Raw genomic sequence first — 20,022 nt, forward strand, 5'->3', positions numbered from 1 at the left:
TTTTACATGTGGTAGCGCATTTAATATTCACAGCAACACAAATGGGAAGTAATATTCTTATCACCGTTTTACAAATGAGAAGCCCAAGGCCCAGAAGAGTTGAATATCTTGCTCAAGATCACACACCTTTTGCCACCCCCCATTCCAAGTCCCATAGGCAACTCAGACTCAGCACATCCATGATGTAACTTATCATCTTCCTCTCCAAACCATTTCCTCACTTGTGCCCTACTCTCAGTGGGGACATCTCCAATCCCCAGGCCCAAGCTGGAAACCGGAAGCCATTTCTGACTCCTCCCTCACCCACTCCATCCAAATGGAGCCCAAGTCCTGTACATTGTACTTCTTGGGTATTGATCAATCCCGGCCCTTGTCTCCACGCCCACGGTGCTGACCCATTGTTAGGTGCCCGGCTGCTGCTCCTGGGTCATCACTTCCCAGCACTCTCTTTGCAGGCCCATCTCCACCATTTCCAGCATCCTACACACTGCGGCTCAGGTGTGCTTTCTAAACCTCACCTCACCATGTCCCCATCTCCAGAATGAAGCCCAGCCTCCTCTGCTCATCCCCTCAAACTGTAAAGTGCAGATCCCAGACCCAAAAAGGACACCCCCCACCACAATACCCTGCTCTGTCTCCTCCTCTGGGAAGCCTCCTGGCCTTGGCCCAGAGGCTGGATGTGAGCTCCCCCACCCCAAGCCCCACAGCCTCCAAGCCTCCCACTCTGCACTCACCTTCTTCCTTATAATTACCTGTCACCCATTAAACTGCAACCCTCAAAGGCAGAGCCCAGTGCATCCACTGTGCATCCCCAGTGTCCAGGCAGGGCCTGCACACAGTAGGTGGACAATAATTGTTGAAAGGCAAAATACATGAGCAATGACAGGAACCATGGGTGATACTGCCTTCTGAGCCCCAGGCAACAGAGTGATTCCTGCCTGGCCCCAGGGTCAGTGGATCCTGGCCCCTCACCCCACCCAACCTCTGCAGCTGCTTCCCTGGAGCCCTTGGAGCCCTAAGAGGCCTCTTCCTGTGTCTTCATGTGTTCGAAGGATTTCCCTCTTTGCATCTTCCTTTCCTATTCCTTCATGTGGGAGCACTCTGGCACCAGGAAGAAGAAAGAGGAGCCCAACCCCTTACCAGCCTTCAATCTATAACAAGCATTCTCAAGGGAATTAAAACTGATTCTTAAAAGGGGAGGTGAAAAAAAACTTACTCTTTTTTACGTATAAAGCACAGAACATATACAGAACATAAACAGATGTATAGTATATCTGTGGTATTAAAATTTCATGTGATTAAGAAAAAAAAATCTGGAAGAATACTAGGGAAGGCACTAATGAAAAAAAGGCTAAAAAATTCTGATCTACCTTCTTGGGCCATGCCTTGTCTGGTCCAAGAACCGGCCAGAACTCGGGGAAGTGAACAACCAGGGGAGAGTCTAGAGTCCAATCTCAGGATCCCCTCAAAGTATTTCCAAAGCCAACCCCCCATCAGTCAGCTACAGTCCTTTCACCAAAACCGCCCTTCCTTCCCCCTTGCCTGAAAATCCCTCATTCTGTTTCTGTCATTCTTTCATCTTACCTTGTTCCTACTGAGGGCGCAGGTCAGTTCTTCCCCATTCTCCCCCTGGGGCACCCCAGTTCCCAGGGCATGAAAGACTTGAGGTGCCTCACCTCTACACCTTGGGCTAAGACATAGCCCTAGAGCTCCTGGAAGAACCCAGGAGGGAAGCCCAACCACAGGAGGCCCCCAGGAAGTGGGGGTACTGCTGTGGGACAAGCTTCTCTTTATTGGGGAAGGGATGGGATCACAAATAATCTCTGCTTAGAAGTGCTCTAGGGCCATGGATTCATGTAAGGGTGGGGCAGGGTGGACTGAAGATCTGTTGGCAGGGCTCATAGAGATGAGGGTAAGGGGAGAGATCATGGGTTCATGAGATCCCATCTTGGGCAATACAGTTATCCCATGGTCTTCATATGCCACAGAGTCCTCCAATTTCAGTGGCTCCCGTGGGATGGTGGAGCCAATGAAGACCAGGTAGATGATGCCACCTAGAGAGGCACCCAGAAGTGGTGCCACCACTGGCACCCACCACAAGTTCTCCCCATTGCTGCAGGCAAGAGGCAGAGGCCAGCTGAGGGGGCTGATGCCCAGGACAGCACCCTCATCCACCTCGGGCCAAGACTGGTTGAGCAGAGGAGTCATCCTCAGGCTAACCCAGGAAACACCCCCAACCCGGGGCCCTGGTCAGCCTCAGCCCGATTCAGGGACAGGGTTGACACTCAGTGCAGGTGCAGGATCTGTATCTGTACTGGCCTGGGGAAATGTTGGGACTCACTCCTGCTCCCCAGGCCACCTGGGGGCTCTGCAGGACCCTCCTGTGCTGCCCCTCACATCACCCCCCACACCTCAACACACAGGGGCCCCACAGAAAATCTCAAAGGAATGGGCCTGGGCAGGGGAAGTACCTGAAGACCTGTTTGCCCCAACCAGCAATGAAGGTGAAGATGCGGGGGGGGCAGGTCCCGGGATGGATTGATGGCATATCCTGTGTTCATGCCATGGGACACCCTGATGATGACCACGAGGATGCCTATCACCAGCGCGTGTGTTCCTGGCAGTGCTGGGTTTTTCTCCCGGTCCGTGATGGCGAAGAGACACAGCTGGAGCATCCCGGTCAGCCACTCCTGAGGAGCAGATGCTGTGGCAGCTCACCTGGGCCCCTCCCCAAGCCACAGGACCTCGGCAGTGCCCCAGACCCAAGCCCACCAGCAGAGACACATCTTGGTACAGTCTCCATCCAGAGTTCTTGTCCTGTCTATCCGGAGGGACTCCCTGCTGGCTCCGTCCTGAGGGGTGGAGGGCAGGGGGAGGGGTACTCATCCTGGACCACTGACCTCATTCAGGAAGCCCCGCCACAATGTCATGTGATCAGGAAGGTAGGTGGCAAAAATGCCAGCTGTAGCAACGGGACCGGTCACCATCAGCTCTCCACCCGAAAAGTGGAGAATGGCCACTGTGGAGACACAGACTATCATGCGAACCTGCCCCCAACTAAGCCCCACCGGGGTCCCAGAAATGAGGTTATAGGTTAGAGGGTGGGAGACCTCCAAGCCTTTTTTCTCCCAGCTATTTTTTACAAATCAGGACACTGAGGTCCAATCTGCCCATATTTCATAACAGGCAGTTGAGGCCAGAGGCGGACACCCGGGCAGGACGCTCACTGTAGAAGAGTCTGTAGATGGTGGCAGCCGCCAGGAAGGAGCCCAGGAACTGCCCCAGCACATAGACTGGAAACTTCCTCCAGGGCACACGGCCCAGTGCACAGTTAGTGAAGCTCACAGCTGCGTTCATGTGGGCTCCTGCGGGCAGCAGGCAAGTGTGTCAGGGAGTGAGAGCAGAACAAACAACAGTGACAAACAGTATGAGAACAACGATGGCTAGTGTGTATGACAGCATGCTCCGTGACAGAGTTCTCTCCTTGAGCCCTCACAACCACCCCGTGAGGCAGGGGCCACCATCTTCGTTTCACTCTTAAGGAAACTGAGGAACACAGAAGGCGATGGCTTGCCTAAGATCACCCAGCCAGTGAAAATGGTAGGTCGGGGGGGCCAGGAAGAATCTGGGGCAGACACGTCATAGGCACGGGCTTCAGAGGAGACTTCCTCCCGCCCGGTGGCCAGGCTGAGGCACTGGCTGTGCTGGCAAAGGAGCTGGCTGAGGCAGGCAGGAAAGAGCCTGTTGGGGACACCTGGTCTTGCCCGGTCCGGCAGGGCCTGGGCTCACTCACCAGAGATGCGGCCTGCCACGTGCACTCCCATGGTGACTCCGAAGCCAAAACCCAAGTTGACACCAAGGTAGCTCCCAAATGTTTTATTTAGAAGCATATGGGCCACGGAACCAAGGCCGAATACCTACAAGGGAGGGCCTCTAAGGGGGCTGCCTGCCCAGAAGCCCCAACCTCAGAGGAGGGCTCAGAGCTCAGTTCTAGCTCCTCACCCCCATGCCCTGGGCCTCCCTGGCGTTGCCTCGAAGACCCTCTGCCATGCCCTCTTCCTCCAGAGCCTTCCCTCCTCACTGCCTCCTCTCCTTGCCCCTGCTGAGGCCTCTCAGACCTGAGCCACTGAGAGCCGGGTGGAGCGGCAGAGTTAGAAGCTCTTACTACAAACATCCAAGCACCTCAGCCCCAGGCCCACCTGAAGTTTTGGGGTAAGGCAGGGCTGCAAGGAGGGGATGGCTGGCATGCATTGCACCCCCTCAGAGTCCCTCACACTTCAGGCTGACCTGAAGGAAGTTTCTTCAAGGGACCCCCAAATCCATCCATGCCTGACTCTGCCAGGAACCCCTCCCTACACATGCACACACTCCACCGCAATTCCCACAATGCTGGAACAGTGGGGCCCTAACTGTCTTGCCCTCAGCTTCATTTCCACTGACCTCAGGCGGCATTCCCAAGCTGCTGCTTCTTGCCCATCCCTCACGGCTCCTCAGATAATGCTGCCTTTACAGGGGAAGGGGCCTACCTTCAGGCCCATTACCCTCAGTCTAGAGCCACTGTTCCCTTCAGCCCTGGCTCCTGTGCTATCCTCTCCCTCTGCAGAGGCCTCCGTCTCCCCCATACCTTCCATCCTCCCATTGATCGGCTCCCACACACTGGAGTCTCATCCTTCCCAGCAAACTGTCCCACCCCTGCCCAGTGTCCTTCTCCAGCTGTGGGTTCCTGGTTGCCCCCTCCCTGTTTCAGTCAGGCTGCAGGAGAGAACACACTGGCCAGCTGCTTCACCCCTTCCCTCGCACCCCCTCCTCAATCTGGCTTCCACTTCCACATGTCACAGACACCAAAGCTCTCTCCAAGGGCTCCAGCAGCCTCCTGATTTTCCAAAGGTCTTTTCAGGCATGGTTTTACCACGTAGACAGTCTCATCTATGCCTGATGCACTGAAATTCCCATCATCTCCGTGGGGGAGCCAGATGCCTATTTGCAAATCCCCACTGCAACTCTCCTGGTGTTCCGCGGGCGTCTCAGGCTCTGATGAAGGTTCGCCATCTCACAGCACACCTGCTCCTCACTCTATGTTCCCCATCCCCGTTGGCCAAGCCAGAAACTCAGATGTTGCAAATGATAGTTAAGCACTATTATTCTCCCCCACTTGACAGATGGGTAATCTGAAGCTTAGAGAACTTGAATGGCTTGTCCAAGGTCACACAGCCTGTACATGGTGAGCCAGGATTAAATCCAGGCAGTTACCTGTGACAGATGGCCTCAAACCAAACAACTGCGCTGCTCCATGCATGCCTTGCTTTCTTGTGCCTCTGTTTTATTTGTTTGTTTGTTTGATGCTTGAGATAGGGTTTTGCTCTATCACCCAGGCTGGAGTGCAGTGACATGATCAGGGCTCATTGCAGCCTCCATCTCCTGGGCTCAAGTGATCCTCCCACCTCAGCCTCTCAAGTAGTTGGGACTATGGGCATGTGCCTCGGCACGCAGCCAATTTTTTTTTTTTTTTTTTTGAGACAGTCTTGCTCTGTCGCCGAAGCCGGAGTGCAATGGCGCAATCTCGGCTCACTGCAACCTCCAACTCCCGGGTTCAAGTGATTCTCCTGCCTTAGCCTCCCGAGTAGTTGAGATTATAGGTGCATGCCACCATGCCCAACTATTTTTTTGTATTTTTAGTAGAGACAGGGTTTCACGATGTTGGCCAGACTGGTCTCAAACACCTGACCTCAGATGATCAGCCTGCCTTGGCCTCCCAAAGTGCTGGGATTACAGGCATGAGCCATTGAGCCCTATCCCAGCTAAGTTTTTCAATTTATTTTGTGTAGAGATGAGGTTTCACTATGTTGCCCGGGCTGGTCTCGAGCTCCTGGCCTTAAGCAATCCTCTCACCTCAGCCTCCCAGAGTGCTGGGATTACAGGTGTGAGCCACCATGCCTGGCCAGAATATCCTAATAATTTTACATTGATTGCATCTTGAAATAGGATTTTTGCTATGTAGGTTAATTATTAAAATTAATTTCACCTGTTGCTTTTTACCTTTTTAATGTGGATACTAGAAAAATTTAAATTATACAGATGGCTTGTATTGTATTTCCCCTGGAGAACTCTGTTCTAGAGTTGATAAAGGAGAAAACCTGAAGAATTGTAGACATAAGGGCCGAAGTCAAAGCCGACAGAGGAGAAGGCCCCAGGAGAGGGTACAGGGTAAGAAGGCAGACCAGGCCGGGTGCAGTGGCTCATGCCTGTAATCCCAGCACTTTGGGAGGCCGAGGTGGATGGATCACTTTAGGTCAGGAGTTCAAGACCAGCATGACAAAACCCCGTCTCTACTAATAATACAAAAATTAGCCAGGCGTGGTGGTGCTTGCCTGTAATCCCAGCTACTCAGGAGGCTGAGACAGGAGAATTGCTTGAACCCAGGAGGTGGAGCTTGCAGTGATCCAAGATCACACCACTGCACTCCAGCCTGGGTGACAGAGCAAGACTCCATCTCAAAAAAAGAAAAAAAAAAGAAAAAAAAAGAGTTGAAAGGCACCAGTGTAGACTCCTCTTCGAGAACTCGCCTGAGGAGCGGGGAAGAGAGAACATGATCCCGTGAAGGGGCTGACAGGGTGAAGGGAAGGATGTTTCATTTTGTGTTGTTTTCAGTGGAGAAACTTCAGTATGTTTATAGGCTGAGAGAGGGATGGGCTGAAGATAAAGGACAGAGAAAAAGGACAGAGTAAAGTACCTGAATAGGCTGGACAGCTGGATTGGTGCAGAAGTGGAGGTGTCCTCCAGGAAGGAGAGGACCCCGCCCCAGCCAAGGGGTGATATGTGGATACACGGGTGGTTAATGGGTCTGGTGGTAAGAGGGACAAGAGGGTGAGCTGAACATAGGAAGTGTTGATTATTTTACCTATCAAGCAGCAGATCAAGCCATTTGCTGATTTAAAAAAAAAAAAAAAAGTCAGAGTACAGAGCAGCTTTGGGGAAGTCTGAGAAAATGTGAAATAGCCCAGATATGGTGGGGGAGAGGCAGCTGAGCAGAGCCCACTGGGTCCCTCAGAAGCCCCAGGACAGAAGCAGGGGAGCCCAGAGCTGGGCTGGCTTCAGATCCAGGATAAGATACAGCAGGAGAGGACAGGAACAGATGGGGGTGCAGGGGGGAGTGAGGTCAGGACAGGTTGACAGGCTGGCAGGGTCAAGAGGTAGAGGGACTGGAGGAGGCATGGAGGGTCTGAAAACAGAGGGGCCCCCATGGCCTTTCCTGCATTCCAATACCATGTGCTAAAAATACTGGATGAGCATAGGCCGGGCATGGTGGCTCACGCCTGTAATCCCAGCACTTTGGGAGACTGAGGCAGGCCGATCATGAGGTCAGGAGTTCGAGACCTGCTTAGCCAACATGGTGAAACCCCGTCTCTACTAAAGATACAAAAAATTAGCCAGGTGTGGTGGCACATGCCTGTAATCCCAGCTACTCGGGAGGCTGAGGCAGGAGAATCACTTGAACCCGGGAGGCAGAGCAGTGAGCTGAGATCACACCACTGCACTCCAGCCTGGGCAACAGGGTGAGACTCTCTCAAAAAAATAAAATAAATAAAATAAAATACTGGGTGAGTGAATGAACCCCACATGATTCCTTGTGTCAGGGTTGCCAACTGGCAACTCATGCACCTAATTCATCCAGCGCACAGATTCTGTTTAGATAACTTGGTTTTGAAGAACAGAAGTTTCCATCTCTCTTGAAAAATGAGCAGCTCAGGCAACACTGGCCTGCATTCCACCCTCCATGGCAACAGTCAGCTGGAGTGGCAGCAGCTATACAGCCTTGCACAGATTGGCACTCTGCAGCCAGCCAAAGTCCCCACCGCCCTGAGTGGCCGCTCTCTTGGCCCCCGTAGTATGTGATCTACAACCCTTGCCCCGTGTCTCACGTGTATGGCTGGTTTTCCAGGGCCCGGATGGCTCCAGCCCCTCCTCTCCCTGATCAGTGAATGTGGCCTAGCCCATCCAACTCTCCCCCACAGCCAGGAGGCCAGCTCCAAGGGCAACACACCTGGAAGCTGCAACACAGATCAGTCCACTTCCCTTGTCCTGGCTGCAATAAATGGGGCCAAGGTCACACTAGCTTTTTTGGCAAAACATTCACCCTGGTGACTCACTGAGATTCCTATATATATATTTACAAAAAAAAAAAGAAAAAAAAAGCCCTCACTTCTTGGCACAGCCTGGCAACTAAAAATAACAACACCACAATATCCGATATAGGCTTACGCCTCACAAAGTTCTTTTACAAGTGCTACTGTCTTCAATCCTCACAACAAATCTGCACAGCAAGAATTTTTCTCCCACTCTATAAGTGGGGAAACTGAGGCCGAGAGAGGCATCTTGAACTACCTGAAAGTGAGGACCTTACCCTGGCTGGGGGAGCATTAACAAGCCAGTCTTTAAAAGCTGGCAATATTTAAGCTAAGGTACAGAGCATAGAGGTTAAGGGTCAAGACTGTGATATTGGGCTGGGCACGGTGACTCATGCCTGTAATCCCAGCACTTTGGGAGGCCGAGGTGGGAGGATCACTTGAAGTCAGGAGTTCAAGACCAGCCTTGACAACATGGTGAAACCTTGTCTTTCCTAAAAATACAAAAATTGGCTGGGCATGGTGGCATGCACCTGTAATTCCAGCTACTCCAGAGGCTGAGACGCAAGAATCGCTTGAACCCGGGAGGTAGAGGTTGCAGTGAGCCGAGATTGCACCACTGCGACAAAGCAGGACTGTATCTGAAAAAAAAAAAACAAAAAAGACTGTGATATTAGACTGCACTGGATTTAATCTTGACTTAAAGTGTGACCTTGGGCAAAAGGCTTAGTCTCAAGGAGCCTCAGTTTTCCCATCTGTGAAACTGGGATAATAATAGTACCTGCTTCACAGGGCTATTGTGAGGATTTGGGAAGATGCTGCACGTAAGGGGCTTAGCATCACAGAGCCCGGGATGCATTAGGTGATCAATGAAAATCTCAACAAAAGGAGGAGGAACACAGATGTGGGCAGGTATCAAGCATGTGGGCGGTGCCTATTTCCCTAACAGCTCTCAGAGGATGCACCCTCCTGCCTCCGAGGTTCCAAGGGTTAACAGCCCTCATGGGGCTGGAATGTCTTGTGGTAAGTGAATTACTTTGCCCTGGATTAAGGAGGGACAGGATCCAACTGCTGTCCTCACAGCTCAGGAGCCAAAGCAGGTGGGGAGGTAAGAGAGGAGTAGGGGAGGGCCAGAGACAGAGAGGAGACAGCAGCTAGAGCACCCGTCGTAATAACAAGGGACCAATACATGGGTACCACACTGGGTGCTGAGACTTGGCCTTCTTCACACAAGTCCTCCTGTTAACAAATAAGGAAGCTAAAGTTGTGGGCCGGGCGAGGTGACTCACGCCAGCAATCCCAGCACTTTGGGAGGCCGAGGCAGGAAGGTCACCTGAATTCGGGAGTTTGAGACCAGTCTGGCCAACATGGTGAAACCCCATCTCTACTAAAAATAGAAAAATTAGCTGAGCACAGTGGCACGTGCCTGTAGTCCCAGCTACTCAAGAGGCTGAGGCAAGAGAGTCACTTGAGTATGGGAGGTGGGGGCTACAGTGAGCTGAGATCGTACCACTGCACTCCATCCTAGGAGACAGAGTGAGACCCTGTCTCAAAAACAAGAAAGCTAAATTTGTGAACAGTTAAGATACTTGTGGATAGTCGCACAGCTAGAAGATAACAGAGCTAGGATTCAAACACAGCTCCAAAGCCCACGAAGGCCTAATTCTACACGATATAAGTGAGAAGTCAGGCTTTAAGCCAGGGAGAGACCTGCCCAAGGCAACTGGTCACTCAGTGGCAGGGTCAGGCTAAGAACCCTGGTGTTCCAATTTCCTCTCTCCCTTGAGCTCCATGGGCCCCACCACACACACAAACAGCCTCTCTCACCCCACCTTCCTCTAGCATGCACCTGGCTGCCTTTGCCTCCCTTCCCAGAGGCTGCCCCTTCTTTTTCTAGACCCTGGACCCTGCATAAGATGCAATAAACATGGCTACAGTCATGTTAAGGGCAGAGGCTCACTGGGGTAAGTGGCAGGGCTGAAGCAGGTGGAGAGGGAGCAACCTCACATCCTGCCTGCAGTCTGGATTCTGTCCCAATCACACACTAAAGAAGAGCCCTTGTCAAGGTTACCAGCAACCTCCACGTTGGCAAACCCTAAGGCCCCTTGCCAGTGCTCACCTCGTGTGGCCCATCTGCCGCTGCCCATGCCGCTGACGGCTTCTTCCTGGTGGAACCACTGCCCCCTCTGTCACGCAGTCGGCTCTGGTTCTCCTCCCACCTCTCTGACCATTCCTTCTCAGGCTCCTTTGTGTGCCCCTCTTCATTCCTCAGGGCTCTGTCCTCAAACCATCCTTTTCTCTTTCTGTACACTCCTTCTAGACAGTGTTGACAACCACCACCTGTGTTGTGATGAACTTCAACTTTTTCCTTCCAGACCAAGCCTCTCCTGAGCTCCAGCCCCTTGCCTGTGTTTAACTATCTCCTGGATTTCCCCACAGGCATCTTGCCTCTCACCCTGTGCTGGGTCCCGTGCTCCAGAACAGCTCATCGGCGCTTTGCCCACATGTTCTGTTGGCAGAGTCTCCCCGATTCTGTCTTCCACAGCCCTCTCAAACATGTGCTTTCTTCTCCAACCCCAGATCAGTCATCACCCTCTCTGTCCCAGATCAAAAACAGCCTCTTAACTGGTTCCTTCTTGCCAGCCTTGCCTGTCCTGCTTATGCTCCACACTGCACCCAAAATTACCTTTAAAATCCAAATCTGATCATGTCACTCCCCTGCTTGCCAGCCTTCAACATCGCCCATTGCCCTCTGGATTCATTATCAGAGCCTGATCTTCAAGTTTCTCTTCAATCTCTCTCTCTTTTTTTTTTCTTTTTTTTCTTTTTTTTTGAGACAGAGTTTTGCTCCTGTCACCAAGGCTGGAGTGCAATGGTGTGATCTCAGCTCACTGCAACCTCCACCTCCTGGGCTCAAGTGATTCTCCTGCCTCAGCCTCCTGAATAACTGATATTACAGGTGTCTGCAACCATGCCCAGCTAATTTTTGTATTTTTAGTAGAGATGGGGTTTCACCATGTTGGCCAGGTTGGTTTCGAACTCCTGACCTCAGGTGATCCACTTGCCTAAGCCTCCCAAAGTGCTGGAATTACAGGCATGAGCCACTGCACCTGGGCCTCTTTAATCTCTTTACTCTGGGTTTCCCTTCTCCCCATTTCCAGCCTTGCCCCGGATACCCCAGTGCATGATTTCATTTGACCCCCACATATTATGAGCCCTTTCTGTCCAAAAAGACTTGATGAGAAAGCCCCCCCTCCTTACTTTCCTCGCTGCTTCCCCAGGCTCCCAGCTCAGAGGCAAGGAATGGACAATGTGACCCATGGGGTCAGAATGGGGAGGGGGTCATGGAAGGCCATGGCAGAGCCCCACTCACTTCGTGCTGCCCACCCACTCACCATCATGACATATGTGCTCATGAACTCAGCCAGGAACTCTCGCTCCATCTTCCTCTCATCTTCCTCGCACCATATTTCCTGGATCTTTGCTATCACGGACCAGGAGACCATTTTGGAGCCACGGGTGGACCTGATACAGTGGCCCGAGCCCATGGACAGTAAGGAGACTCAAGTCTGCCTGCTGCCCATCGGCTCTTCAACTCACAGCTGAGTTAATAGGTAACCCAGCAGACTTGCCACACACACCTCCTCTTGCCTGGAGCAGCTGGGACAGCTGGAATTGGAGACACTTGAGAGCCATGGGGACATGGAGAGGAACTGGGGTAGATGGCCAAGCCATGCCCCTTGTAGTTGGGACTGGACCAGTAAAAATGGCACACCAATGAGGCCACTTTGCAGACGGGCAGGTGGGGAGCTGAAAGTGCAATCCACGGTGCCAACAAGCCTCTGGGAAAAAGCAGGGTGGGAGAGAGCAGGCTGGAAAGTAGAGCTCAGTAGTCTATGTCTGTCCATCTGTCTGTCCGCCTATCTGCTAGAGCCAGAACTTTGGGGTCACAGGCCAGGGCCTGGCAACAGTGAGGCACTCTACAAACAGCATGAGGTGTGACAAAGTCTGCTGCTTAGCTCTGTAAACAGCACTGAGTGCTGAAACATGCGCCAGGTTCTGTCAAAAATGAAGGGGTCAGCAAAATGCACCAGGCTGTGCAACCAGGTCAGTGCAAACAGAGGTTTGTGAGAGAGTGAGTGAATGAATGAATGACCAAGAGAGAGGGAGGGAGAAAAGGAAGGACTGGATCTACTTCCTGGTGTATCTTCAGTGCCCAGCACCATGCCAGGCACATAGTAGATGTGCAATAAGTATTTGTTGAATGAGTGAAAACTGGGGAATCTGTCTTACTCCCAACTAGATCCTCAGAGCTTCCCAAAGGGCCTGGCACTTGATTTATATTTAGTTAAGTGCACGGTTAGATGGAAAGGTAGATGAAACAGGTGAGTAACATGTCCCAAATCTGCGTATAGGGAGAGGTATAGGACTGGAGTTTGGGGAAGGTGGCGGGGTGGGACTGGAGGATAAAGAGGAAGAAGAGGGGCTGGGCCCGGTAGCTCACGCCTATAATCCCAGCACTTTGGGAGGCCAAGGTGGGCAGATCACCTGAGGTCGGGAGTTCGAGACCAGCCTGACCAACATAGAGAAACCCCATCTCTACTAAAAAATACAAAATTAGCCAGGCATGGTGGCGCATGCTTGTAATCCCAGCTACTTCGGAGGCTGAGGCAGGAGAATCACTTGAACATGGGAGATGGAGGTTGTGGTGAGCCGAGATCTTGCCACTGCACTCCAGCCTGGGCAACAAGAGCGAGACTCCATCTCAAAAAAAAAAAAAAAAAAAAGAGGAAGAAGAGGGATACAGATACCTCTAAGTATGGCCTTAGTCACTCTGCTATCTCACTGTCTGCATGCCCGGAAGCTGACACCAACCCCTCAACTCCTCTGGCCAGCCCATCCTTGCACATCACGTACTGCCTTAGCTGCAGGCCTTTGCACATGCCAGTCCTACACCGAGAATGGTCCCCTGCCTCCCCAGAGGCTCCTTTACCCGCCAGCCTTCTTTTCTTGACCTAAATTTCCCTTTCTCTGGGAGAGCCTCCTACCCTCTCCTCTAGGCCATTCACTTCTTCCACATGCCACACGGTGCCCACTCTTTCAGCTGGGGCAATGCTCATCACACTGCATAGTAATTGCTCAGTTAGGCCAGGCACAGTGTCTCACGCCTGTAATCCCAGCACTTGCCGAGGCGAGCTGATCGCTTGAGCCCAGGAGTTCAAGACCAGCCTGGGCAGTATGACAAAACCTCATCTCTACAAAAAAAAAAAATACAAAAATTAGTCAGGTGTTGTGGTGTACGCCTGTGGTCCCAGCTAATGGAGAGGCTGATGTGAGAGGATTGCCTGAGCCCAGAAGGCAGAGGTTGCAGTGAGCTGAGATCACACCACTGCACTCCAGCGTGGGTGACAGAGCGACACCCTGTCTCAAAAAAAAAAAAAAAAAAAAAAAAAGCTTAATTAATTAACGGTTTTTCTTCCTAAGGGCTGGGATCATACCAGTTTGCTTCACTGCAGTGCCTGAACATAGTAGGCACAGTAGATTCAATAAATCTTTGGTTCCTTGGCTGGTTGTTGCCTGCTCTGTGCTGATGAGAAAGGAGCCAGGCTTCCAGGATTCTCTTGGTGTTCTTGGCTCCCTGCTCTGTCTACCTCTCCCCTGCCTCTATGGTACCTTCCCAGGACTGTCTTTGGGCTGCTGCTTGCATTGGTAGGGTCTCTTCTTCAGGGCTGAGGAGGCTGGTCATGTGATAATGAGACCCCTATACGATGCTACATGGGAGCTGGAGTTGGATGGGGCCAGTGGAATATCCGCACAACTCTGCATCCCCCTCCATCTACTCATCCCTGGTTTTGTTTCTCTGGGGTAAGGAATAGAGCAAGGACTGGGCTGGGTGAGCTATGAACAGAGGGTCTCAGCTGAAAAGTGGAAGATGTTTTATTCCATGCCTGGACGTCTCTCATTCCCTCTGCTTACTTTTTGCTGCTGTGAGGTCAGGGGAATTTAGGAGCCCTGAGGAATACTGCTGCTCTCCCTAGCAGGGTGAGGTGACCCTCCACTGGCTCCCATCCAACCCCACCTCCCATGCTGGAGGTAACCACAGAAGAGGAGAGAGAAGTGGACAGAGCAGAAATACAAGAACACCAAGAGAATCCTGGAAGCCTGGCTCCTTCCTCATCACCACACAGCAGGCAAGACACAGTAAGCAACAGATAACCACCAACCAGCCAATGAACTCAAGATTTCTTGAATCTACTGTGCCTAGAATGTTCAGTCACTTCAGTAAAGGACACTGGTACAATCCAGCCCGTGGGAAGAAAAGCAATCAATTGAGCAATTACTATGCAGTGTGATGAGCATTGCCCCAGCTGAAAGAGTGGGCACCGTGGGGCATGTGGAGGAAGTGAATGGCCTAGAGGAGGGGGTAGGAGGCTCCCAGAGAAAGGGAAATTTAGGTCAAGAAAAGAAGGCTGGAGGGTAAAGGAGCCTCCAGGGAGGCAGGGATCACTCTGGGTGTAGGACTGGCATGTGCAAAGGCCTGCAACTAAGACAGTATCCAATGTGCAGGAATGGGCTGGCCACGGAGGAGTGGAGGTGGCATGAGATGGGCAGAGAGGGGCCAGGGCCAGGTGGCAGAAGGCCTCATGGCCCACATTAGGGAGTCTGAACTCTACCAGAGGGCCATGGGCCAAGTGGAGGATTTCAGCAGGAGAGCTGCCTCCCCTGTGGAGGCCAGGATGGAGGAAGTGGAGTGGAGGCAGGGTGAGCATCAGCTTCTCCACAGATGGGTGGAGAAGTGGTGGCAGCCTGAGCCACAGAGATGGCAGTGCCAATGGCCACAAGAGCACAGTCAAGCTGACAGGCTTGGTGTTTGGTTAGAGAGGGAAGGGAGCGGGGCAGCTCAGCGATGCCCTCAGGTCCTGGCTAGGGCAGCGGAATGACTAGCGTGGGGCACAGCAGAGAAGCTGTGGAAGAATGGACAAGGAGGCCCTTTCTGGACATGTTGAGTGTGAGGAGCCCGCTAGACACTTGGGTGGGATGGCCAGTGAGGAGGCAGCTGGTCATGTGGTCTCACTTACAGACACATTTGGAGGACAGCAAATCACAGATGGTCATCTGAGCCATGGGCATAGATGAGAGAGCTCAAGGAGAGGGTACAGACTAAGAAGAGGGGCCCAAGAAAGCCAGCCTACAAAGCAAGAAACTGACAGCCAACCAGATCCCCTAAGTTATCTGTTAACCAAGGAACTAAATAGCTAACAACTCACTAATGCCTGTTTCTTTTCTTTTTCTTTTCTTTTTTTTTTTTTTTTTTTTTTTGAGACAGGGTCTCACTCTGTCACCCAGGCTGAAGTGCAGTGGCACAGTCACAGCTCACTGAAGCCTAGACTTCCCAGGGTTCAAGTGATCCTCCCACCTCAGCCTCCCAAGTAGTTGGGACTACAGGAGCATGCCACCTTGACCGGCTATTTTTTCCTATTTTTTGTAGAGATGGGGTTTTGCCATGTTACCCAAGCTGGTCCCAAACTCCTGGACTCAAGCAATCCTCCAGCCTCAGCCTCCCAAGGTGCAGGGATTTCAGGCATGAGCCACTATGCCCGGTGGCTTACTAACCCTTTGACTAACCTATCAAAAACCAACTAACTGATTCTCCTGTTAACCAGCTATTAACTCATTGAATTATCTAATCAACCAGTCAACCATAAACTATCCAACTAACCACGAGCCAACAATTCAACCTGCTAACCAACATTTCTTCATTCAACAAACATTTGTTGGCCAGGCATGGTGACTCATGCCTGTAATCCCAACACTTCAGGAGGCCGAGGCAGGTGGATCACTTGAGGTCAGGAGTTCAAGACCAGCCTGGCCAACATGGCAGAACCCCATTTCCACTAAAAATAAAAAAAAAAATTAGCTGGTCGTGGTGGCAGGCGCCTGTAATACCAGCTGGGGTGGGGGCTGAGATGTGAGAATTGCTTGAGCCCAAGAAGCAGAAGTTGCAGTGAGCCGAGATCATGCCACTGCACTCCAGCATGGGCAACAGAACAAGACTCCATCTCAAAAAAAGAAAAAATTTTTGTTGAGCACCTACTTATGAGTCAAGCACCAGGGATACAAAGTCAAAACCCACTCTCCACTCTTGGGTCATTCTGTTTAATAGAAGAGATGGGTAATGGCAACACCACCAGAGAGAAGCAGCCTGGGACTGGGGGAACTCAGGGGAGGCATGGGAGGTGAGGCCTGAAGGGAGTTTTGAAGAATGGGCGGGTGGTGGCCTGACATGGCCATGGAGGAGTAGGGTGGTGGTAGAAAGAATGGTGGAAGCTGTGCACATTCTAGATATTTTAGGAGATTGGTGACTGGATGTGAGGCATGGGGGAGAGGGAAGTATCAAGGACATGACCTTGACTTCTGGCTTGAGCAACTGAAGATAAGGGGACCCCTGACTGAGCCAAGAGCACAGGAGGAGTGGACTTGTGGGGGGCGGAGGAAGCTGTTTCCATCTAGGAGCTGAGTTGCCTGTGAGACACAAGTGGGTCTCTAGAAACAGGATCTAAAGCCCTGGAAAGAGATGTAGGCTAGAGGCAATGATGTCAACAGAGGGGCACTATTCATTCTCTCCGTCCAAGTGTACAACAGGCAAATATCCCTGCTTGTGTGGAGCTGACAGCAATGAAATGTAATAAGTAAGTACCTTTGTATAAGCGAAGGTACCAGCTCCTATGGAAAAAAACAGAGCAAGGGGAGGGGAATTGGGAGTGCAGGGGCTGGAGATGGGGTGTGATTTCAAATAGGGCAGTCAGAGTAATCCTTGTTGAGAAGGTGGCCTTGGAGCAAAGCCATGAAGGAGATGAGAGTGGGCTGTATGTTAACTGCAGAAAGCCTCTCAGATGGAGGGAATAGTCACCAGAGGACTCTCAGCATGTTTGAAGAAAGCAAAGAAAGTCAGTGTGAGGCCAGGTGCAGTGGCTCACACCTGTAATCCCAACCTTTTGGGAGGCCGAGGCGGGTGGATCACCTGAGGTCAGGAGTTCAAGAACAGCCTGGTGAACATGGCGAAACCCCATTTCTACTAAAAATACAAAAAAAAAAAAAAAAACTAATTAGCTGGGCATGGTAGCGTGTGCCTGTAATCCTGTAATCCCAGCTACTCAGGAGGCTGAGGCAAGAGAATCGCTTGAACCCGGGAGAAGGAGGTTGCAGTGACCCAAGATCGTGCCATTGCACTCCAGCCTGGGCAACAGAACTGGATTCCATCTCAAAAAAAAAAAAAAAAAGAAAAAAAAAACAGAAAAGAAACTCAGTGTGGCTGGAGGAGGGAGAGCAGGGGGCTGGAGTGGGGAGGCCAGAAAGCTAACAAGGACTACATAGGCAGGGCCTTGGCCATTGCAAGGACTGGCTCTTTTTCACCCCAAAGACAGCTGAGCCTGAGAGGGTGAGAGGTGCTGAGTGCAGTTGAGTTGAAGGCCACCTGCATGCCTTGACCCTCATCCAAGTATTTCTGAGCCTCCCCTCACCCCAGGACCCAGCCCAGGCAACAGGTGGAAGATGCTTTTCTTCTGGGACCTCAGAGACGAGTGGGTGGGTGGGGAGGAGGAGGTCGAGGGGGGACAGCTGCCCCAAGGGAGAGGCTGAGGATGGAGCAGGGAGGGCACTGAAGTGGGCTGGGTGGAGGACAGGGGGCTGGAGGGTGAGAAGAGGGTGGGGTACTTACCGCCTGTGCCCAGATGCTTGAACCATGTTTTGTCCTTCAGATTTGTAGATGCTGAGGAGCCAAAGAGAGGTCACTAGGGCTGGAGGACACAGAACTTGGCCCCACACTTCCATCAGACCTTGGTCCCCAGGGGAGAAGCCCTGGGGCAGCTCCTGCTAGTGCCACTCCCTTAACCCAGCCAAGCAACAGGGAGGGAGGAGCGGTGCTCAGCCAATGAGGCGACACCCTGGAGCCCCACCCCACCCATGCTGGCCCCAGGACCCCAGCCCCAGGCCAGACCCTCCAGTGCTCCTGCTGACCTTCCCTGTCTGCAGCCCAGCTTTGGACTGTGGAGATGCCCTCAGCCTCTACTCAGTGGCTCCAGCCTCATATTTGCGTGCTATACCTTTAACCTCAAGCCCTCTTGCTGCTAACTTAAGCTGTGACTGTCCAGGACCTGCACACACACACACATGCACGCATGCACACACACACACACACACACACACACACATAAGGTGAACACACAGGATGAGGCCCTGAAAACTCATTTCACCCGTGTACCTCACCCAAAAATTCCCCTTTGTACTCTTATCTTTATCTCTAACTGACAGCATGAAGGTAGCCCGAAGTCCCCTCACCCTGTCTGTCCTCCTGATTCTCTAGCCCAGTTCCCTCTAGCTCCAGCACAGACTCTTATCTCCAGCCCTGACTGCTGAAACCCTCCAGCCCCAGCTCCAGCCCCTCAGGAGGGGACTGCGTGGGAGGAATGACTCCAGCAAGCCGGCAGCTGACCCGTCTCCTGCCTGCACGCCTCCCGCTGTGGTCCACTGCTGGTGGTCTTCAGCTCTCTCCTCGTCCCACCCCCATGGTCTGCTGACAGCCCAGCCCAGTGCATCCCTGCCATCTCTGCTCTGCCACTGGTCCTCCCAACAACCAACTTACAGGTAAGGAAACTGAGGCCCAGAGAGAAGGTGTATGTGCCTGTGTCACACAGCAACACAGGACTGCACCATAACAAGAAAGCTGGGACTTCCACTCCCAGCCGGGGCTCCTTCCCCAAACAATCCCTCAGTCACCTCCTCGCTGTATGGTACCCAGCGAATGGCCCTTCCAGATCTGGGCACTGAGGAGGCTGTCCCATCCCCACCCTGCCTGGAGCCCCACTCACTCTGCTGAAATGTCTTCTGATTCTCAGCCTCTGCCTTGGGGGCTTCTCAGTTAAAGCGCATCTTGATCTTGTTCCTCTGTGACTGTCCCTGTCTCAGCTTCCACCCCCAGCTGGGGCTCAGCTATCCCTGTGTCCCCAGTCCAGAGCCTGCCTCTCAGCCCTCCCAGGGCGGCCTCGAGTGCTGCTCCTGCTCCTCCAGGGGAGAGGTCAGTAAGGCAGGGATTTGGCTGGTGCCACTTGAACCAAGTCCAGATGCACTGCCCAAAATAACATCCCTCATCTGGCCAGCAGTGCCGTGGAGACCGAGTTCTGAAGCAGGCCTTTGTGAGGTCAGAGGTGGAGTTCTGGGTGGGCACTCTGGGCCTCACAGTCCCAGAGGAAAGGCCTGTCCTCCAAGCCAATGTGCAGCCTGACTCTGGGGCCAGCGCCTGAGGAAGCCCTCCCTGAGCCCCAGCCCTGGGGAAGGCTGAAGAGGCCTCTGAACCCCCAGCGCTGGGGAGAGCTGTGCAGAATAGGACTGGAGGTGGAAGTGTTGGAGATTAACAGCCAGATGGAGGGGACGGCGGGAGGCCCTGGGTCAGTCCTCAGGGAACCCCATTCTGAAGGGGGAGAGGGAAACTCAGGCCCAGTCCTCAGGGGCCCCCAGTCTGAGAGGAAGGAGGACACACGAGCCATATTTGCAGAGAGACACCAGCCTGCGAGAGGAGGTAGAAGCCCAGGCCTGGCCCTCCGAGGGCCCCTAGTCTGAGGAGCAGTCCACCTGCCCTCGGGAAAACACCTCCCTTAGGAAAGGCCAGCAAGGCCCCCGTAAAGGAGCCACAGCTGGATCGGGGCATGGGGCTCGGGGCCCAGCGGCGTGGGAGCTCCGGGACCGAGGTGCAGTCAGGAGAGGCCCTGGGGGCCAGCGGCAGTCCAAGAGGACTTTTGGAGCCAAGGCCTGACTGGGTCTCAAACAATGGGGCAGGCAGTTTGGGGTTTCAGCAGGTGGCCCAGTGCTGAGACACAAGGGAGTTGTTTCTGGTCTGCAGACA

General features: G+C 52.8%; 2 pseudogenes across 1 annotated transcript in view; one reads left to right on the forward strand and one right to left on the reverse strand.

Annotated features, from left to right (window-relative positions):
• Positions 1–19,460, reverse strand: LOC102724922 (putative aquaporin-7-like protein 3; annotated as a pseudogene).
• The window catches only part of LOC102724904 (methylenetetrahydrofolate dehydrogenase (NADP+ dependent) 1 like pseudogene), a 13,715-nt pseudogene continuing 11,820 nt past the window's right edge, over positions 18,128–20,022 (forward strand). The window contains exon 1 of the transcript NR_160669.1: positions 18,128–18,767. The product of NR_160669.1 is annotated as a methylenetetrahydrofolate dehydrogenase (NADP+ dependent) 1 like pseudogene (transcript). The remainder of the gene's footprint in view (positions 18,768–20,022) is intronic.

The sequence above is a fragment of the Homo sapiens genome, chromosome 9, assembly GCF_000001405.40.
Source record: "Homo sapiens chromosome 9, GRCh38.p14 Primary Assembly".
Classification (NCBI taxonomy): Eukaryota; Metazoa; Chordata; class Mammalia; order Primates; family Hominidae; genus Homo; species Homo sapiens.